This window comes from Homo sapiens, chromosome 3 (assembly GCF_000001405.40).
Source record: "Homo sapiens chromosome 3, GRCh38.p14 Primary Assembly".
NCBI classification, from domain to species: domain Eukaryota; kingdom Metazoa; phylum Chordata; class Mammalia; order Primates; family Hominidae; genus Homo; species Homo sapiens.
The window spans coordinates 111664734-111685859 of record NC_000003.12 but is presented as its reverse complement, the minus strand read 5'-3'; the positions used below and the strand labels follow the sequence as shown (position 1 = coordinate 111685859).

The 21126-nt window shown below is 41.3% G+C and overlaps 2 protein-coding genes and 1 long non-coding RNA gene across 11 annotated transcripts in view, besides 2 other annotated features; 1 reads left to right on the top strand and 2 right to left on the bottom strand.

The window, feature by feature from the left end:
• The window catches only part of PLCXD2 (phosphatidylinositol specific phospholipase C X domain containing 2), a 52332-nt gene extending 41148 nt beyond the window's left edge, over nt 1–11184 (bottom strand). The window contains exon 1 of the mRNA NM_001413064.1: nt 10452–11184. Coding sequence (NP_001399993.1) covers nt 10452–10614 — 163 coding nt within the window. The 5' untranslated portion in view covers nt 10615–11184. The remainder of the gene's footprint in view (nt 1–10451) is intronic.
• PLCXD2-AS1 (PLCXD2 antisense RNA 1) lies at nt 8427–9594 on the top strand. The gene is made up of 2 exons (NR_046733.1): nt 8427–8517; nt 8725–9594. It is a non-coding gene; the product is annotated as a PLCXD2 antisense RNA 1 (long non-coding RNA).
• Nucleotides 11027–11126: an enhancer, noted in NCBI's record as "active region_20225". NCBI's record gives its function as "activates an Ori minimal core promoter by ATAC-STARR-seq in GM12878 lymphoblastoid cells {active_cell/tissue: GM12878}" and the evidence as "EXISTENCE:reporter gene assay evidence [ECO:0000049][PMID:35858748]".
• Nucleotides 17876–17925: an enhancer, noted in NCBI's record as "active region_20224". NCBI's record gives its function as "activates an Ori minimal core promoter by ATAC-STARR-seq in GM12878 lymphoblastoid cells {active_cell/tissue: GM12878}" and the evidence as "EXISTENCE:reporter gene assay evidence [ECO:0000049][PMID:35858748]".
• The window catches only part of CD96 (CD96 molecule), a 123800-nt gene continuing 122537 nt past the window's right edge, over nt 19864–21126 (bottom strand). For all 9 annotated transcript variants that reach the window (XR_007093273.1, XR_924090.2, XR_241462.2 and 6 more), the window contains one exon: nt 19864–20333. The gene's annotated coding sequence lies outside the window, so the exon portion shown is untranslated. The remainder of the gene's footprint in view (nt 20334–21126) is intronic.

Sequence of the window (21126 nt, the reverse complement as noted above, 5' to 3'; positions counted from 1 at the left end):
CTCTTCTTCAATTGTCCAATAGACCCCAATCCCTACTCCAAATAAGACATTGTAGATAATTCATTCACAAGAAATTCTTCTATTCTGCTACCATGCATCCTGCTCTGTCTCCAAATAGATGGCGTCATCTTTTTGTGAAGTAACCCCTTGCAAGGGGCACTTGGTCATTCCCTAATAAGCCTTCTCAGCTCTGAGATAACCATATTTGCTTTAACAACCTTTTTGTAAACACACAAGAAAGAACAATAATAAGCTTTAGGAGAAACCAGAAAAATGTTTAGGGTAGGAGAAAAAGTTACATTAAATGAACTATTCTACTGCAAAATTCTCCTGCTTTTTTTGAGCTTATTGGTGCAACCTGAGATGTCCATGTATGAAATAAATTGTGTTTGATGATTGTGGTAAAGCAACTAAAAGTTTCCATTTCACAGCTGGTTTATGGTATAGTATACACAAGCTAACTCCTACACTCATGCCCAAGCTGCCAAGAGAGAATTCATACAGAACAGGCAGAACACTGGACACTAGACAAACACGAGGGGGCACCTCTCTGGGAATAGAAACTCAACAAATTTTCTAAAAGAAGTACAATCTTAGTTCAAATCTAAAATATATAATCTAAAAATGAGGATATCAGCTTTAAATTCAAACCTTCTGATATTGGGTATAATAGTAGCTGTTAGTGAGGGTAGAAGGTTGGGCAAATTGTGAAATGTGAAGATTTAGCTCTGAAACCATCTCCACTGTGTCCCACCTGTGCCCTTCTCCCAATTCTGAAATGTCCCACAGGTGCCTCAAATTCAGCATGCCCCAGACTAAGCACCTGCTTCCTTCCACCACCTCTAAACCTGCTCCTTCTCCTTTATCCATATTCCTGAGAATGCCACTAACTTCCTCTCTCTCACCCAAGCCCCTTGCACCTTCTCTTTTGCCCTCCAATTAATCGCCAAGTCCTGCTGACACTTTCTCTTTTTCTTTGTCCATGCTGTCACCCTCCTCCTCAGGTCAGGGTCGCCTCCCACTTGGATGACCTCATCAGCAACCTAATTGGTCCCCTTGGTTACAGTACTTCCTAGTTCCCATATACTTTGTGCTGCAGCGAGAGTGATCTTTCCAAAACACAAAGTTGACCTTGTGATTTGCATGCTTAAAACCCTTCCCACTCCTGTTCAGGTAAAGTTAGTTAACTTTATTTTTTTTTTTTTTAAGACGGAGTTTTGTTCCGTCGCCCAGGCTGGAGTGCAATGGCATGATCTTGGCTCTCTGCAACCTCCGCCTCCTGGGTTCAAGTGATTCTCCTGCCTCAGTCTCCCAGGTAGCTGGAATTACAGACGCCCGCCATCATGCCTGGCTAATTTTTGTATTTTTAGTAGAGATGGGGTTTCACCATGTTGGCCAGGCTAGTCTCAAACTCCTGACCTCAAGTGATCCACCAGCCTCGGCTTTCCAAAGTGCTGGTATTACAGGCATGAGCCACTGTGCCCAGCCTGAAGTAAGATAACTTTAACATGCCTTTTTTTTTTTTTTTTTTTAGATGGAGTCTCACTCTGTCAGCAGTCTGGAGTGCAATGGCGCAATCTCAGCTGATCGCAACCTCTGCCTCCCGGGTTCAAGCGATTCTCCTGTCTCAGCCTCCCGAGTAGCTGGGACTACAGGTGCATGCCACCATGCCCAGCTAATTTTTGTATTTTTAGTAGAGATGGAGTTTCACCATGTTGGCCAGGCTGGTCTCGATCTCTTGACCTTGTGATCTGCCTGCCTTGGCCTCCCAAATTGCTGAGATTACAGGTGTGAGCCACCACGCCTGGCCTAACATGGCTTTTAAGACCTCTAAGTATGTTGCCACTTTACTCCCTGACAGTCTCCTCCTTGCAACCCACAGTACAACCATAATAAACTATTTTGGTTTGTTAAATGGGCCATTCCCTCTCTTCAAGATCCTCACTCATTTTATTTCCCCCTCTAGAGCATCCTTACTGTGTTTATCTTATCCTGAGGGCTAATTTCTGTGTATTTTTCAGGGTTTAGTTTATTCATAACTTCCTCCAGGAGGCCTCCCTAGTCTTGTTAAGATGCCCTTGCTATATGCTTCTTCCAGCAGTAATGTATACCTCTCCAGTCATCCTACATAGCATATTGTGTTATAACTGCTTGATTAAATGACCATTTCTCCAACTATACTGTCAGCTCTTTGAAGGCAAGGACCATGTCTGTATTGATCATCACTGAATCACCAGTGCCTAGGAGAGAGCCCAGTATATGGAAGAAAATTATACAAGTGTTGAATAGAGTGAAAGAAACAATGAGTTTCTCATCTTAACCCACAGTATCCCTAATAACTGCTGGGTCATTTTGTTTCACTTCACTCTTATGCAGTTATTTTAGGGGGGACTTTCCACCCATTTCTGACCAACTCTTTGAATGGCTGCTTTTTGCCATCAGGATGACATTCAATCTTGGCATGGGCATATAAGGCTCATTAGGATCTAGTTCTTGCCTACTTTCCCAGCCTCATATCTATTCCTTTCTTTAAATAAAATCCATGCTCTAACCACACCAGACTGCTTGGCTTTGCCCAAGGTCACCATGCTGTCTGACTCCTCAGTCCCTCTGCACTGGGACACCTGGCTTTCTACTCCTCGCTATTTATATTTCAACCCAAGGGTGCTCTTGGAAGTCCAACCTACCAAGCTTTCCTCCTACTACCAGTAACAGAATTGGGTATTGGTTTTCTGAGTGTTACAGACCCCATACATTTTCTCTATCATGTTTGAATTTTGGCTTTCTTCTAAGGTCATATTTTCAGGAAGAGCAGGGAGAAGAATCTTACAAATCTGTGTGATCACCCGATTTAACACAGTACCTGGCACAAAAGGGCATTCAGTAACTACCTTTTGAGTTAATGATTTTCCTTTAAATGAATACAATTTTTTAAATATAGGCAATGAGAACCAAAAGAAGCAAAAGGAGTATGCAGGCACTGACATATATTTTTAGCCAAATTAACACAACACACTCATATAATTCTTGTGAGGATCCATATGGACACCTACTGCCAAGATGATCACCTAAACTCGAACCTGGGGAGGGTGGACGAGAATGCTGTTTTCACCTTTCTCTGTTTGGCATTTATTTGGGGAGGGGTGTATCTGGTTTCAATCGCACTTTAAAAATAATGCTTTTAATATATAAGCCTCCAAATCATACATGTTCATAAAATATTCATCTCAGTCTGACAGGGCCTAGGCATTTTTCAGTTCCACCACTACTGCAGACTGCTGCCACACTCCAAGACATTTGCATTATAGCGCACAAATGTGTACTATTTTTTCCTTTATTTTCATCTTGTCAGGTCTGAACAGAAATAAAAATACTGATAGAACATTCTCTAAGAAGAAATGATACTTTACAGCTGACAGTTCTAGAGTAATTGGACATTAACAAAAAAACCCCAACCTGTTATTTTCTTAGAAAATTTTAGCTGCTTAGTAGACAATGAATCCACAAAAGACTGCCTGTGTTTCATAGATGATATAACCTAGGCATGCCCCTTAGAGCAATGCAGACCTCTGTAGCTCAACCTCTTTTATCTTGAAGTTACCTAGAGACCTACTAATATAATCCTCCCATGTACTTTGATCCTCACAGTGTTCAGTAATATAATCCAAATTCCTATCGATGTTTAACAACACAAGAGAGAAGGTGGAAGGACTCCTGCTTAACCACAAATGTAAATACTAAAATAAATTTAGTCACAGATCTCCTCCACCTAAATTTGGTTCTTGATGCGTGTTCAAATTCTTTTCACACACACAAACACACCCACCTATTACAATGTCTACAAATAATCCCTCCTCTGCAGGCCTGGTTTGAAACTCTAATTGGGGTTAGTCAGCATTGGCAAAGTGGTTTGCGATTTTCCCAGAGGCAAAGTTGCAGGACGCTAAAGCATTTCACTAGCATTACCTTTAGTGTGCCTGTGCTCCTAAGTTCCTAGAGGCAGGAGAGAGATGTAGAAGCTACCTGTCAATCTAGTGGAGGTCAGGTCAGATCACGTGTTAGAAACCAACTCCTCAGCTTCAGAAACATGTCTGAGAGAGGAGCTTGCAGGTGCAAGCAGCACGCTCCAAGGGTCTGAAGTGTCAGTGGGCATGTTTTGCAAGATATTTATGACTGGTGAACGATAGCATGTATTGAGATTTGGGCCCAGTGGAGGTTGAGGCTGAGGCTAACGTCATAGCTAAGTATCTGTGCATGTGTGTGTGTTGGGTAATGGGTGGTACATGTGTGTTGCATGTGTGGGTGATGTATGTGTTTGGAGGGATGATGAAGCTATTATTCCAATAGCTGGGGGAAGGAATTATAAAACATGTATAAGGATTTGTTCAAAGGAAAGCATTTTGTAACATTCCCACTCTCAAGCTAGGAACAAAATGACTGGGTTAGGAGGGCAAGTGATGAGGAAATGAGGAGAGCAGAAAAAAGTTAACAACATGTTTCTGTCACAGAGGGCTGAGTTTTTCCCAAAGGCTCTGGATGTCTGGGGATGACAGTCTGACAGCTGAATTTGGGATGGGACAGGACAGAGTAAATAACTAAAGAAAGTTTTCTGGCTGTCTTGATCAGCCACCTGCTATTGCATCTAAGACACCCTTGGCACTCACATCCTGGGGAACCCTCCGTGTATCCTTCCCTTAACTTTAAAGCCTCCTTTGCAGGGTAACCATTCAAGTTACCCTAATCTGATCAGACAGAGAACACTGAGTCAGACAGTTTAATTGGACAGCCAGCTCCTTAACTAGATTGTAAATTACCTGAGGGTATAAACTGCATTTTACACCTCTTTTTTGTTGTCCATTCCAGTCACAGGCTTTCAATAAATGAATGTTCTGATTGATTTTTTTAAACGATACATAATAACAATTGTTATTATTATCTAGTGCTTATTTTGTGAGAGAAAGCATACTATATGAATTAATTTATTTCTCACACTAAGAAATGAGGTGGTGCATAGATTACCTGTGTTACAGAGAAGGACACTGAGGCACAGAGAGGTTAAGTAATTTGTCCAAAGTCACACTGCTTGTAAAGGGCAGAATCAGTATTTAAATCCAGATAGTCTGGCTGTTGTATTCATACTCTTAACCAATCCATGATCTTTCTGTTTATAGACATGTGTGATTCTGGAATTCCTTGTGGCTTTTGTGATTTGCAGGAGGAGAGATGGCTAGAGAAATGATGAGCCTTTTTAAGAGTGAAACCTACTAATGGAACCACCACAGTCATAGTGTCTTTTTATTTTTCACCATGGCCACTCAGAGGGGGGAAAAAGCAAAACAAAACAAAAATAAACGATTCTCATTTAAGAGACAGTTTTGGTCTTGTATGATTTTTTTTTTTTCATGATTGAGTCAGCCTTGGTAGATTCAGCTTGGTCCTTGGTTTCCCACAACCTCAAATCCTGTAGGAAAATGGATTTGTTTTAGGGCCAACTCACGGTTCATACTATCCTCAAAGTAGAGCCAACCAAAACTTCTTGTTACACAATTTATTTTGTGCTCTTTTGGGGTGGTCTCCAAATCTCTTTTAGATATGCCAAATCTGGTTCAACTTTCAGAAGCAAGATCTGAGTAATGACTCCATCCTGCTCCACTAAGGGATTTTGTCTCCATGTCACACATGTGGGAAGAGGGTGTGCGGCCACAGGAGGAAGACCTATAGAAATCACTAAGTACTCAAGGGCAAAACTGCTAGGAAAAGGATAGGATTCCAGAAAGGTAGAAAAGAAAAGAAGGGAATGATCACTAGCAACATGAGATCAGAGAATCATCTGGGAATCGGAGAGCAGTGAGGAGCACCTGTGGAAGGGTTGACCCTGCCAAGGGAAGGCTGGAGACCAGGTCAGGTCAGTGGAAAGAAAGCAAAGAGGGGAACAAGAAATGAGATCTGGGAGAGGCAGCAGCCAGGCAGCAAAGATGAAAAGCTCTAATTTGACAAGGGAAGAAGGAAGGCAGGAGGGATGTTGGGTGAAAGAATCGCTCCTAGAAAAGAAGTTACACCAGGGCTCTGCTTCTGACTCTTGCGACCATTTTCAGCCTCAAAATTTTCATTTCTAATGGGGCTTAGTGATGAGCCTTATCAAGCCTAATCTTCAGGAATATTATGCGCAATAACAAGAAATGGATTGGAAAATCTTCATATGGTTTCATGTGGCTATTTGTGAAAGCTGAACTTAACCAATCTATTCAGCTCTGATCACAATGAAAAACAGCGGTGGCTGCAAACCATGTTTCCAGCATTCTTACTCCATACTTTCCATACTTTCAATTATTCACTCAACTGTCACCAATGACTGCGCTGCTACCTTCTACTGCGATTCAGGATTATAAAGGAAAATAAGATATTTTCTGTCAGCAAGTTGTTCACATGGGAAAAACATACACTTAAAAATAACAATGTGTTGAGAAGTACTATGACAAAGAAACTATAACAGGGATATGGAAGGACCAGAGAGGGTGTCCTCTAGCCATTTCCCTCATATACCCCCATTTACTCCCATATACCCCCATTCCACCTGGAAAGCCTCCTTCCCAACCCTGACCCTCAACCCATATCCCTTGAAGTCTTGACCATTCCTCAAATTCTAGATCAAATGCTATTTTCTCAACAAGGTAGTTCCTAATTCTCAGAAGGTGGAATTAATCTTTCCATTCTGTGTGCTTCTGTAACATGTTATTTATATCTCTGGTTTAAAATTTCTTCTAATTAGTTCTTTTTAAAAAAACTATGTATGATGAAGGTACATATATACATATATATATAAATATCTCTATGGAGGTTTCTTAAAGTGCACTTAGGGTCTGATGAGGTAAAAGTTCATTTGCATCAAGTAATCTACAGCCCCTTTTAAGAGGCTAAAGTGAATAGACCCTGCTTCATTCTGGCAATTGTGAAACCTTGTTTATACATTTTCTTGTTTTGAAGAGGCATAAAAGAAATAGGTTTTAGACCTAAAATGACCCAATCATTCCTTCCAGCTCTTTCTACATTGGACAAAGAACAGGCAACAAAATAAAACAAAAAAACCCTCAAATTAATCACATAATTTTTAATCTGGAAAGGACTCTATATTTCATTTAACCCAATATCTTAATTACAAATAAAGAAACTATGTCCTGAGAAATTTAGATACTTCTTCAATATTACACAGCAAGAATCAACAATAAATTTTGCAACCCTTAAGTTCAAGGCTCTTCCCAATAGAACCTTCCCAAAATGTAAACCAAGTAGTTTACCTTTAATAAGAAAGAAAGTGTTTTTTAAAAAATGAAATAGCATTAAAATGTACAGAGAAAAAATTCATTGAAAAGCAGTATACATTATAGAGAAATGTCTTCCCATTAGTCCATTTGTCCATAGAGAATATCACGCTTTTACAAAAATCAGTGAAAATGTTTGTAGAGTTTAAAGCTTTAATTTAAAAATCTGTCTTTTATGATGTCTGGATCCTTTATCCTTCAGACATCAAATGATTCTATACAGTTAGCAATGAGAATTATTTTGAGGTTCTTCTCCAAGATATTTTAATATGTTTGGTGGTATTGGCCATTAACAGGTGTTCTTAACAGTTGCGGAAGTAAAATAATACATCAAGGCTCTGTTGAGAGGTGCACATTCACACATGTTCTCTCCCATCATGACTTAGGCAAAGGCAGCAGGTGCACTCAAACGTGGCATAGTTTACTCCATCTCATTTCTGCTATTGTTGCCAGAAGGCTTGCCTTTTCCCTGCCCTTTCCCATGTCCCCCGCCTCATCACCATCCTGATAGATCTGACCCAGTCCTATAGATGCCCCAGATTGGGCATGTGGGCGCACACGCACACAACAGGTTGAAGCACTAAAATTGAATTTAAAACTTACTGGGTTTCAATTCTAAACAGGCATATGTATATATAATATGTATATATGTACACAAGTAGATGTGCATATAATATGTATGTATCTACCTATATATTCAAAGTGATAATCACTTAGACAAATACCACTCGCTTTTAAAAATTCTTTCATTCACTGCAGAGGATGGTTTGAAGAAACTGGCTTTCAGTTAAAGATTACACCCACTGCTCTGCCATTCCCAAGACCCCTCAGGGGCACAGAGACAGTGCCTGGGTTTTGCAGCTACACAGGGGCTTAAATACAACATCTACCACTTACTATTTGTGTGATCTTGAGAAAATTACTTAACCTCTTTGAACAATAATTTTCTTAACTCTAAAGTGAGGATGTTAATACCTACTTCATGGAGTTATGAGGACTGGAGGTAATGTATGCCAATGGGTCCTGCGTGGTAGTGCTCAGTACATAATAGCTATTATGATGCAGATGATGATAAGAGGGAAGAGTTAAAGAGGAAGTAGGGGGACGATGATGGCCCCCATTTCCCAAATGCCTACTATATTTCAGGATTTCTCAGCAAGGACTGGTAGAACTTGACTTGACTGCCAGCTTTTATCTGGTGAGTATGAAGCTCGAGGTAGAGGAAAGAGAACTAGTAGGGGGAAGTCCATGAATGGCTAGCATTTAATATGTAATTTTCCTGTCTTGAGCCTACACATACATACACTTAATGTCCCTTCCACTGCTGAGGAAACGGCATTTCACAGCAGTGAATTCAGCATCTTTTGAGGAGTCAAAGCCATTTTTTTTTCTTTTTCCTTAGCAGGACCGGACTTCACAAAGCAGGGTGAAAGAATTTGCATGATCTCCATGGTGGCTAATCATATAATTTCCAGTTTCAGCAGCTGGCACCAGCTATTTGCTCCCCCGCTACCCAAGCAATTCTAGTAACTGTGAGATATCCTATGAATCACAGAACAAATGCCCAACTCCTTTCTACAGTCACGGGGTCAGAGTACACAGCCAACCCACTAGCAGAGCTGGAGTTATGGTTTGAGCCAAAGTACAACAAGGAAGGAGGAAGCCCCAACCTACCCCGGACATGCCCTGAATGACACAGCCATTTAGGGCCTGCCAAAGATGCCATTCTGTTTGCAAACACATATTACCTGCCATATCACTCAACAAAATAATTCCATCAGAAGGCCTGAAGGCAAATGACTAATGTTAAAAGTGGCCCATGCATCATTTCAGTGACAACTCCACAGGCGCCAATTAAACATGGAAAAGACCTGTTCTGAAGCATGCCCATCTGGCATTTCCCAAGGAACTGTAGTCAATGGCTGATAAAACATACATGATCATAACTATAAAGAAATTTCGCAGCCCTCTCCTTGCTCAAAAGCAACCGGGGCCTATGAGGACAATGAACCTGGAAGACACCCAAAAGAGGAGGTGAGTAAAGAAAAGCCTGCATTTGAAGCCACCACTGCTCTTCCTCATGCACAGAAAGCAAAGATCGGGAGTTGCATGAGGTCAGATTTTCAGCCACCAAAAACAAACAAACAAAAAAACCAACCAAACCTCAAAAAAAACCCAGACGGGTCTAGGGAATACTTGGGAGTTTGTCTGGTAGTCTGTGGGTGAACTTCAATTGTTATGTCTCCGAGTGAAATAAAGGATTGGCAGTAGTCCATCCCCTGCTTCTAGGAGTGCTTTCCAGTATCAGCATTTGTAGGACTTGCTCAGCACACCAGGCCAAACTCACTGTCCAAATATCCTTCCCTAGAAAACATACAATAACCACCTTCTGAGTGGAAGGAAGAGGACACATTTAACAAATGATGTCAAGGCATAAAACCTCCGGCAGAGAGACAGTGGCTGGAGCAGAAGTGCTTTTCAAGGCTGCAGTTCTAAATCAGTCAGGCAGACACCTGTATACATACATACATACAGAGACAAAGCTTCAAACACCACCACCTCATCACACCTAATGACTGCCTGTGATGAGAGTCTGCATTCTCTATTCTGGCTTTCTAACAACAAAAATGTGTCTTTATACTCAGTTCTGATTCTGAACCTATTCTCTAATGCTTATCCATTTTTTGTTTTTCCAATACACAAGGTCAGATAAATGAGAAATAAAATATTTTTCAGTTTTAATTTTGATCCAGATCTAAATTGTTTGTGACTTTTAATTCATTGCCTTTGATTTCCCCTTCAAGTGATTTAAGACAATGCACCCCTCACATACACATAACAACAGTAAGAAGGATAATATTCTTAGAATGGGGCTAGCAAATATAAGCAAACAAACAAAAAAACCACAAACAAAAACAATGATGCTTCTGTTTTCATGAGTCCTTTTACCAATGATGCAGTGTACTGCAATCTCTTTAAAGCAGCTGCTTCAGTGTTAAGTTTTTGGTTTGGAAATAAAAAGGGGTCACTGACAATTAATTTCTCAGCACAATAGAAAAGCAACCCAACCCCTTAACAACACTAAAATGGCAGAATTAAACACAGTGGGAACAAGTAGGAATAGACGAATACCTGGGATTGCCAGATTGGAAAGGGGGAGGTTGTGGAGGTGAGGGGGGAGCGAGGCCATCCAGTCGGCATTGCAGACCTCCGATGATGTCTTTGTCCCGCTGGGGTTGGGGGAGCAGATGGTCCCCATCCTGAGTTTCCTCCTGGCCTTCCTAACTGCTAGCATCCCTGTTGTTAACAAACTGGCCAGTCTCAGCCCAGTGCCACTCACTCAGTGATCATCACTTCTTGGGCTCTGTGGACGTTTCAGGGCGACGCTTGCCACGCCAGTCTTTCCAAAATGCCTTTCTGGCTGGGGGACGGGGCAAACAGATGGATCCTTACCCACTAGCACTCACAGTCCCCACTCTCTCCGGCCCAGCCTCCGCTCCACTCCCTTAATCTGCTCAGTCCCAGCTCCGTTAAACTTCTTATGTTCCCCTCTGGAGATGGGGGAAGGTAGGCCCCTAGAGATAAATCTTACATAAACTGAAAGTCCGAGGAGCAGCCACACCCGGAGCCACTCACAAGACAGGTGCCCACCCAGTGTACAGACATGCCTGCGGGTCCATACACAGGTGCGCGCCCGGGCGCGCCGGCTCTAGCCTGATTTATGTTTCTATATATGTCACTGGGCTGGTACACAAGCTGGGCCTGCCTGCTACTCACTCCCCCGCTTCTCTGCACAGACGCCCCCTGCCCTGTGGCTTCCTGAAAGACACACAGAAGTGCAGCCGGCGGCACCAGGACTCCCAGCAGCCCCTCCCCGCACTGCCGGGCAGATTTGCCGGGCTAGGCGGCCCGTGATTGGCCGCTGGCGGAGCGCGCTCCGATTGGCCAGCGCTCTCCGGGCTGCCCCTCTGTCCCGCTCCCACGCCTTCCCTGCTCCCCAGTCTCCTCCCTCCGTTACTCTTGCCTTCCAGTGTGTGTGTAGACAGACGCCGCGGCAGCGACTGCATTTGTGGAAACTTGCAGGCTTCGGCCAGTCGGTCCTCAGATAGGTCCTCTTTCCTCCAGCCCCTCACACAGTCAGCACTCAGATGTTCACCGCGACCGCAAATGTTTCCTTCCTTCTTTCAGACACGCGCGCACACACACCCATACACACACGGAAAGGGTTACAATTTCCGTAAACCACAGAAGCAGCAGAAATATGATAGGTAAGAGGCCCAGAAAGGTGCTGTATCTCATATTTGGATGACAACATCTAGGATGGTTTGTGTTTCAGGCATTACATAATTAAGCTTCACCTACACATCACTACGCAGCAGTTCTGTGCAGTTATTCCCATTTTACAGAGGAGGCAATAATGAAACATATTTGTATTGTCCTGTTGTTTGGAACTTTCTTTCAAATTCCTTGTCGCATTTGCTCTTCACAGTACCCCCACCAGGCAGGGAGGGTTGCTGACATAATTCCCTTTAGTAGATGAAATGAAAGTCTGGAAGCATTCAGGGAGCTGAATGTGGTGGCACTATTGGAAATCCCATTTTGGAAAGAGTCTCGCTGGTATGGAGGCTCGTAGGCATACAAACCCATTTCCCTGCTTTCTGCAGTGTTCCCTACTCCTTCAAATGGTACTTCTCCGTGACGGAAAACTACGAGGTCTCTGCTGATCTGAGGACTTTGCACATGAAAATCACAGGGACACCGTGGCAAACAGACAAATCAAGAAAAGCACCCTGGACTTGATGGTAGGGACCCGGAGGGCTTGACGGTAGGGTCCTGGAGGGCTCCAGGTCAGGCAGGTCCTCAGTAACTCAGGAGGACCTTATGGGAAAAGAAGGCGGTTGCCTGAGCTAAGACAAGACTGAAGGCTCATATATAGATCTGTAGGTCAGCTAACATTTAATCACCAAGTGGTCCCACCTTATCTCCTGAGCCCCAAACCACCTTTCCATACACATAACTCCTGCTGCATAGTGGCCCCTTTTGACATCTTATCAATCTTTCCTTTTCCGGGCTATTAACATTCATTTAAACCTGCTTTGCTGCATAATAGTCCCAGTTTTTCTGTTTTGTTTGTTTGGTTTGGTCTGGAGGATTATCACTTGTATGTTAAGAAAGTGTGTAATATTTTTCATATATCTCCTAATGCTTAAAGGGTACTTCAGTATAAACGTGGTATTCTTTGTTTTTAAGTACACCACAGGATACTGGTAATATGTCACCTACCTGTTTGCATCAACAATGTTTTTGGGCTTTTTCCTCCCACCCACTCTCCTAGAAAAATCACTCTGTGAAGTAATATCTTAAGATTTATTTTTGAAGTGACAGCTTTCAGGGCTTCCCTTCAGCCTAAAATTTCCAAACATAAAACTTTATGGAAGCGGTATAAGGCAAACACAATGTATTCTTTAGTCTCTACTGTGAAATGTTAATTTTAGTGCCTTTTTTCCCCTTATTTTTCAGCTGTTAATGAAAGGAATGAGTGATATTTAGAAAGCATCAAATTTGGCCGGGCGCAGTGGCTCACGTCTGTAATCCCAGCACTTTGGGAGGCCGAGAAGGGTGGCTCATGAGGTCAAGAGATCAAGACCATCCTGGCAAACATGGTGAAACCCAGTCACTACTAAAAATACAAAAATTAGCTGGGTGTGGTGGCGCATGCCTGTAGCCCCAGCTACTCAGGGGGCTGAGGCAGGAGAATCGCTTGAACCCGGGGGGGTGGAGGTTGCAGTGAGCTGAGATCCGCCACTGCACTCCAGCTTGGTGACAGAGTGAGACTCCATCTCAAAAAAAAAAAAGCAAAAAAGCCTCGAATTTTAGAGACTTAGCAACATTACTAAGTGAGAACTTGAAAGGAAGTAGAACCGCTTCAGAATGAGATGATTTGCACCTCTCTGAAATTGGCAGCTTTTAAATTTACAGTTACTTGATTTGCCCAAGAAAACAATTCAAAAGGAGGGCAACACTTTTTCCATATATTCCTGAGTCAGTCTTGGGAAAAATCTAGCAAATGAAAACACAGTGTCTAGTACAGTACTTGGCATATAGCAGGTGCTCAGTATTTATTGGAAGGAGGGAGATGCTTGGTAAAAGCTCTTGGTAAATGTCATGCTCTGCTGAGCTCCAAGGAGTGTATTAGAGCAGTGCTTTTCAGATATTACTATGTGAATCAATCATATTCTGATTAAATCGATTTGAGATGGACCTGATAGTCCAAATATTCAACAAGCTTCTAACCGATGCAGATACTCCTGGCCCAGACTACACTTTGAGTAGCAAGGCCTTAGAGAACAGGCTCATGTTTGACAGGAAGGATATGCAGTGCTTTTTCTCTCTTTTCCAAGATTTTATAATGTTTTTACATAACTTTTATAATCATAAAATAAATTTGCTTTAAAAAACTCAGCTAACAATCTCTAAGATAATTTTTTTATCATATTATGCCATGGAAACCAAATTACCAGTGGGATTTTTCTACTATGCTATAGGAGTATAGGGAAAAATATTTTTTAAGTAAAAATTAATATTTAGAGTTTGGATAATTAATATTTTTATACATTCTATATTATGACATCAAAAGAAGAGAACTCAATTACAGTAGGACTGAAATTTTGAAGTAAGTAAATTTTAATGAATAATTACAACCAAATGGAGTGCTTTTTTTGTGTGTAAATCATTCTGGTAGGTCCTAGGAGTGGAAGAAAAGTGAAATGATCCTTAGATAATATATAATCCAGTAGAAAAGAGAGTCAAATATGTGAATTACAAATTGTAATATCAGGGAGAATGAAGGGATAACAGAGACACACAAATGGAGGATAATAAAGTGGTATATATTTTGATGGAGGAAGAGCCAAGGGATGCACTGTTAGAGGATGTGGTATTCAAACCAGGTCTTGAATTCTGAGAAAAGTTTTGCTCATGGAAAATGGGTAGAGGGTTTTGGCATGGGAGAGGCATATGTAGCTGGGAAAACAGAGGCAAAGCTATGACAATGAATGATAGATGTGAGAAACAGAAAATATACTAGAGTGACATATGAGAGAAGTGGGAAATATTGTTCATTTACTCTCATTTAATCTTCACATGAGCCCAATGAATTAGATACTATTACTGTTCCCATTTTACGAAGGATACTGAGGCTTAGTGGCTACATAACGCTGTCCAAGATCTCATAGCTAGTGAGTTGCATAGCTGGGACTCCAGGTCTCTTGATCATTGTGTCAAGGGCTTCCCGTTACATGTTACCTGTTATTGTAAACCTGGTAAAGGCTGTTTATGACCAAAGCATATTAAAGAGTTGCACTTTTTTTTTCTATTGACAAAAATGGCCATTGCAGGTTGAGAAAGGGAGTAAAATGATTCACATTGTACTTTAGGAAGGTAACTATGGCAGAATGGAGAATGCTTGGGGGAAATAAAGAGTCTTTCAGATAAATCACTGAAACCAATTATCTAAGCAATGAAAAGTGAGAAAAAATGCAAAGACCTGGCACATAGAGACTAAACGCATGGCTTTTCTGAACTCTGATGCTTGGCTCCCCAACCCTACTTCTCACCCCAAGGACCTGTAATTCTAAGGCCTGAGTGGGTAGCTTCCCTATCTCTTAAATTATTTTTTATTACTTGAACACCTCATCAAACTGTTCATCCATTTTTATTGAATACAACCAATCTCATTTATGTAAATACATATGCAAATCTGTTTTCTGGAAATTTTTTCTCCATTACACTCTTATTTCCCCAACCATTCCCCATTCTGCCATAATTATCTTCCAAAATACAATGTGAATAATTTTGCTTCCCTTCTTAAAAACCTGCAATGGCCTCTCTTGTCAACATAAAAAATTTTCCAAGCTTTTAAATATGCTTTGTTCATAAACAGCCTTTACCAGGGTTACAATTATAATAGGTGACATGTAATGGTAAAGACCCTGCTGGATTCCTGAAGAGCTGACTATAACCTTAGCCCTCTATTTGGAGACTCCCTTATTGTTTGAAATGTCTGTACTTTACAAGTGGTTTGTTTTGTTTGGATTCACGTGATAAATGAGTAGTGAGGATCCCAGATAAAGCACCAAAACAGCTTGCCATTCAGACATGTGTAGTTGGCAGGATAAGCCGGCCTGATTTTACTTGATTAAAGGCACCCAAAAAGCCTTGGAGGAAGCATATTGATTTAATGATATTGGGACCAGGGCTGTCCCTGGTCCCCAGAGCTAAGCCCCAGGACTGTCTTACTTCCCAGGCTGTGTACGAGATGGGGAAGGAACAGATCCCAAGCAGAATCAGAACACAGACATGTATTTGGTCGAGGGATATTGCCTAGAGGAGAGTGAGGTTATATGATGCTTTGAGTTCCACAGTGATGCGTCACACACAATTTTTTTTTCTGGCTGGGGAGTGGGGTGGGTGGAAAAGGAATAAGGGACTGAAATGAGGAGCCAAGTAAACGAAAGATGGGATGGAGTAGAAGCTGCTTTGCTTTATGGCCTCGTACCAGTAGAGTTTATTCCTAGTCTTTCCCAAGCTTCTTCACCCAGCTCAAGCCAAAAGACTGTATGATAAAGATCAGAGGAGAATGAGGAGATGCAACCAACATAGGTGGTGCTGGGACGTGACGACAGCAGCAGCAATTACCTCCAGGAAGAGTGACATCATTGCAGCAACTGGGGATCTTCAGGAGCCTCCAAGGAAATGGAGACACTGAGGCACACACTTGTGGACACATGATACAACTTACACATTCCTGACATCAGAAGACAGAGGATTGGGATCCACTTATTTTGTTGATTGGGGTAGAGCCGGAGACTATTGTTTTGTCATTTTTACTGTGACCATTCCCGGATTATACCCAGGTGGTGTGTCCTTGAGAAACTGGGTAGAAGAGAAGCAGAAGCTTAAGCAGGAAGTAGCGTTGTCTATATTACCTCATGCCCACTTGGTATTTATGGCCCACAACTGGGATTCTGTAATGAGACAAGAGTGAACGGCAGCAATGGCTGGCCATAAGATTGTTTCTCCCAGATTTGAAAGCTCGGTGTTCAGGAAGACCCTAAGAGCCTCTGTGCCTTTTAAGTTTATTGGACATTAAGTTTTTCTGGTATGCTTTCAGAAAATTTATTTTAACAGTAGTCGTTACTATAATACTTTTGAGAGGGCTACTAACAAGTGATGATTGTAAAATTCATTTTAATATCCATTCATTTCCGTCTACCACACCACATTCCAGCATCCTCTTCCATTTCTCCTTCCCACGCCACCTCCAATCCCTGAAAAGGAAATTGAGAGGAAATAAAGGCCTCAGAGCCTTTATTTTCTAGCTAGTTAGCTAGTTAGCTGCAAAGTCCCTGATTTAAGATGTTATAGAGCCACCTACTGGTATTCAAGGCTCACTTCAGGCACGTATAATATGTTCTGTCAGTGTCAATTATTCCTAAAAATGCCTGTAGATCACCAGCAACAGGAACAACTAGGAGTTTATGCAATATACAGATTTCTGGATCAAATGCCAACCCTCCTGCATCAGATCCTCTGGGATGGCATCTTTTCCTCCTGTCTTTAAAATGTTCTCCTCAGGGGATTTTTATGTCTCAAATGTTTGAGATGAAGGCTTTGAAATGTCAACAAATTTCTCTTTTTTAAAAAAGTTAAAATAGGTAGAATGGCAGAGTAAACAATTCTTATCCATGCTGCATATAACTTTATGCAATTAGGAAGACTATTTTGGCAGAGATAGTTGATCTCAACTAGCAGGAAAATCAATTGATCTGCCACCCTTACCTTTTTTTTCTCCAGGCTACCACCCCACCCCAAGGTTCCTAGAATTATGAGAATTATGTCTATTATTAGGAGACATTGTTGTATTAATGTGTATATTAGTAATCACTTGAGCTTCAGTCACAACAGAATGACCTCTGTGCATTTGTTATCATTTAACCAATCTAATCTTGGGAATGCATTCTTTTAACAACATGACTCTGCAATTTGGTGTGCCACTATCAATTGGAAATAGCATGATGCCACCTCATCCATGGAGTAAAAATTAGTAATATTATCATTACCTAATACTATCATTCTCTTCCAACTTTTTAAATATTAAAATTACAAGTTTGTACAAACAACCTTAACCAACAAAAATATTTTTTAATAAAGTAAATAAATTTCAATGTAAATAAAAGTAATGAATTTTTAGTGTGTCAACAACTCTCTCTGATCAACTCTCTCTGAATGTTAGGTTGTAGTCAAAAGCCCTTACAAATGCTTCTTGGCCTTTTGATGATTTTGTTTCAAAGGATTCTGATTTGCTTAAGTGTCTGTAGTTAACTCCCCAACTCAGCCACGTGTTCGGCTCTGCCCTTCCTAAACTGCAGAAACTGGTCATGGAGGAAGTTGTAGTTTATCTTAGCAACATCTGCACCCACAGCTTCCTCTTCCTTTGAGTAGCAGAAGTAAAAGAGAAAGTAAAATTTATGCCACACATCTTTCTGTTTCAGCCAAGTATAAAGGAGAATATTCTAGAAGTCAGAGTTAAGCAATATAATGAAGTAGAGGAGGAAGTGAGTTCCTATAACTGGAAGCATCCAAGCCAAGCTTGGCACCAATAAGACAGTAACATGATAGAATTGAAGCACCTGATGCTTGATTGAACTACATGAACTTCACGGTCTTTCCAACCGTACTCTGTTTTTTTCCCTCTGCCTGCTGTAGATACCTTTTGTCTTTGCACAGTTAAGCCTTTCTTTCCTTTTTATTGCCTTTCCTCACTCAAATCTTTGACTTCATTTGCTGTAGTCAGGACTAACAGAACTTCTATATAAATATGGACCTAATATTCTAAAATCATGCGGCTACCAGCAAAAGCTTGAGATTGTGTTTTGGGGAGTACCTTTATACTGGTAACACGTTCTAGCCTCTGGGGACACCTCAACATTTTCTCTACCCTCTCCCCGCATTCAGCACCCAGGATGAGATGCGCTTAGCTCAGGCAGTCAGGCTCAGAAAACACATAATGAAGCTCTCAGAGTGGGAAGTATGAATGACCTGGATGGAAGTCACCTTTAGTGCCTCCATCACCTCCACAGTGGTAGGATTGATGTGTGTGCGGCCCGAGGGCAAAGCTTCTCAACTCTTGCGCCAGATGTGCCCTAATCATGGAGCTGAGTAAATGCACACTCCCCAGAGCCCTGTATGGCAGGCATGACAAGCACTGATCCTGGCATTTCTTTCAAGCTGCATAGTTTGTTTTTGTAAATTCATTCACATTTTGTTACACACACACACACACACACACACATGCACACACACACACAAAATTGATGTTCTGGATGTGCTATGTTTGCCCTGTGGCTTCGAGTCCCTTCTGGCACACGCCTTTATTCTTGGGTACTTGTGACCCCTAATGTGAAAGTCCTAGGTCTGGAAGAAAGGCACCAAGAAGTCAATTAGGCACAAGAAAGCTCTGTTCACTCATGGCCCAGCCAACTTTAGTAAAGTAGAAGACTATGAGTGGATTTGAAACCAAAGCTTGAAATCGTGTCTATTTGCCCAAACCTTAGGCAACCTGGAGCAAACGCTGGTGAAGAATCAAGATTATGAGCCATTAGACTGTCTTCTTAAAGAGAGTAGAGAACTGAAAGCTTCCCACCTAAGCTTAACTCCCTCCTCTTGAGTTGACCAGGAGAAAGTTTCACTTGTAGGGCTCATCCTGCCCTTCTGGTACCGAATGTACAATATTAAAGCCTGATAAATTTACACAGCGGAAGTAGAAGACAAGAGGCCTCTGACTCAGGTCTCAAACTCCTATGAATCTTTAGCCTGCTGAGGTATGTTCTTGCTCCAAGAGTTTTAGACTAAGTTTCCTCACCTGTCTAGACTGGTGTTCTGTGTCTACTTACTTGAGTCTTCACTGATTCCTTGGATCTGTTTTTTTTTTTTTTTTCCTCTGCACCTATGATGCCTGCCTGATTCTACCAATCTGGGCTAAACTTTGAAACTGACTCAGTGGCCTATTCAGCCTAAGGCATCTGCCAAGCTGCCCAGATTTAGGTCCTGACCTCTCCTGGCCTGACTGACATGCCACAATAAAAATCATTAGAAGAAGAGCATTGATTTAAAGTGGATATATTAGTCTGTGATGTGAAGTGAGTCAAAAGAAAAGCTCAACTCACCATACTTGAGTGACAATCACCACCTTTAGCAAATTCTCTGCTCCACAAGGCATTTTTCTTTCTCCTACTCACTCATTTGCCATTTCCTGTCATTCATTCACATGATACTGAATTGAATACTACTTTGTGTCTGGCCTCATCCTCACAGTGGGGGCGTTGAGGAGTGAAGGCAGCTTTCCACCTTTGAGGACATTTGGGTCCAACAGAGTTCACAGCCCGCATTCCCTCATCTTGGAGTGACATTGCACGTTTTGACATAAACATTAAAGCAACAATAGCAAACTGAAAAATTTCATCTCAGTAGATAGGACAGAGAGTATCTTCAAATAGTATTTATTGAACAGATAAATATTGGTCAAGCTGTGTACCCAAAATTTGGGGTGATGGGTAAAAGTCCTGTAGGAGGAGGTTCTGTAGAAGTGATTGCTGAGCCTTCTTCCTGCCCCCGCTCCTGTGTGGGGAGCCCCAAGTAGGAATGATGAGCAGGAGTCTGCCCAGTTCTGCCACATGTGTGGGATCTTGCTGCAGGGACTGCTGTAAACTGTGAATTGTTTCCGTAGTTTCTACTAAAGTAGCAACAAAAAACACTGCCCAAGGGTTTGAGGGAGGAATGAAAGTCTCTTTCTTGGGTGGAGTCTGGAGAAACACAGCTTAGTTTTCTTTGATATGAAATGGTTCAACGGTGAGAGGGTAAGTTTGCTCTGGAGTTTTGGGAAAATCAAAGGGCTCCAATTATCTCCTTAAGAAAGGAAAATTGATTGAAGTTTTGGTGGATCCCAGCCAATACCTAGGGTAGAATAAGACCCAGAAATGATATAAAAACAGCGAACTTATGGGATGAATCCTTGCTTATTTTCTTTCTGAACTTTCAGATTAAACAATGCTCAGAGAAAAGAGAAAGAATCCTGCCCCCCACGCCAATGAAACAGCATTTTGGATTTTGTCATACTGTAAAAAGGTTGCAGTCTTGGAAAAATAGGGTAGTTTTGAGTCAAATTAAGAATCTTTCATTAGGGTCTTGCTCAAGTACTTTTTGTTTAAACTTTCTACTTGGAAATAATTTCAAACTTCAAAAAAAGTTGCAAAAGTAAAAATATTAAAAGACACACACACACACATACACACACACACACACACACACTTATTCCATCTACCTAGATTCATCTGTCTTTAACAATTTACCCCCTTTACTTTGTCATTTGCTTCCATCTCTCTCTGTATGCATATACATGTATATCTATACATGCATGTATGTATGTATAAGTGTATGCATATACATATGCATGCACACATGAACACACACCCTTTGAGGCTAAGTTATTTATATCATAGTCCTTTGACTGCTAAATAATAACTGTGTATTTCCTAAGAATAAAAATATCTCTTACATAACAACATCGGAGTTATAAATACTTTTATCTAGTCATCTGTCCATATTCTAATTTTGTCAGTTGATCTAATAAATGTCTTTCATACCATTTCCCCCCTTCTAGTACAGGATTCAATCTAGAGTTAGGTATTGCAATCAATTGTCATGTCTCTTTAGCCTCCTTTAATCTAGAATATTTTCAGAGCCTTTC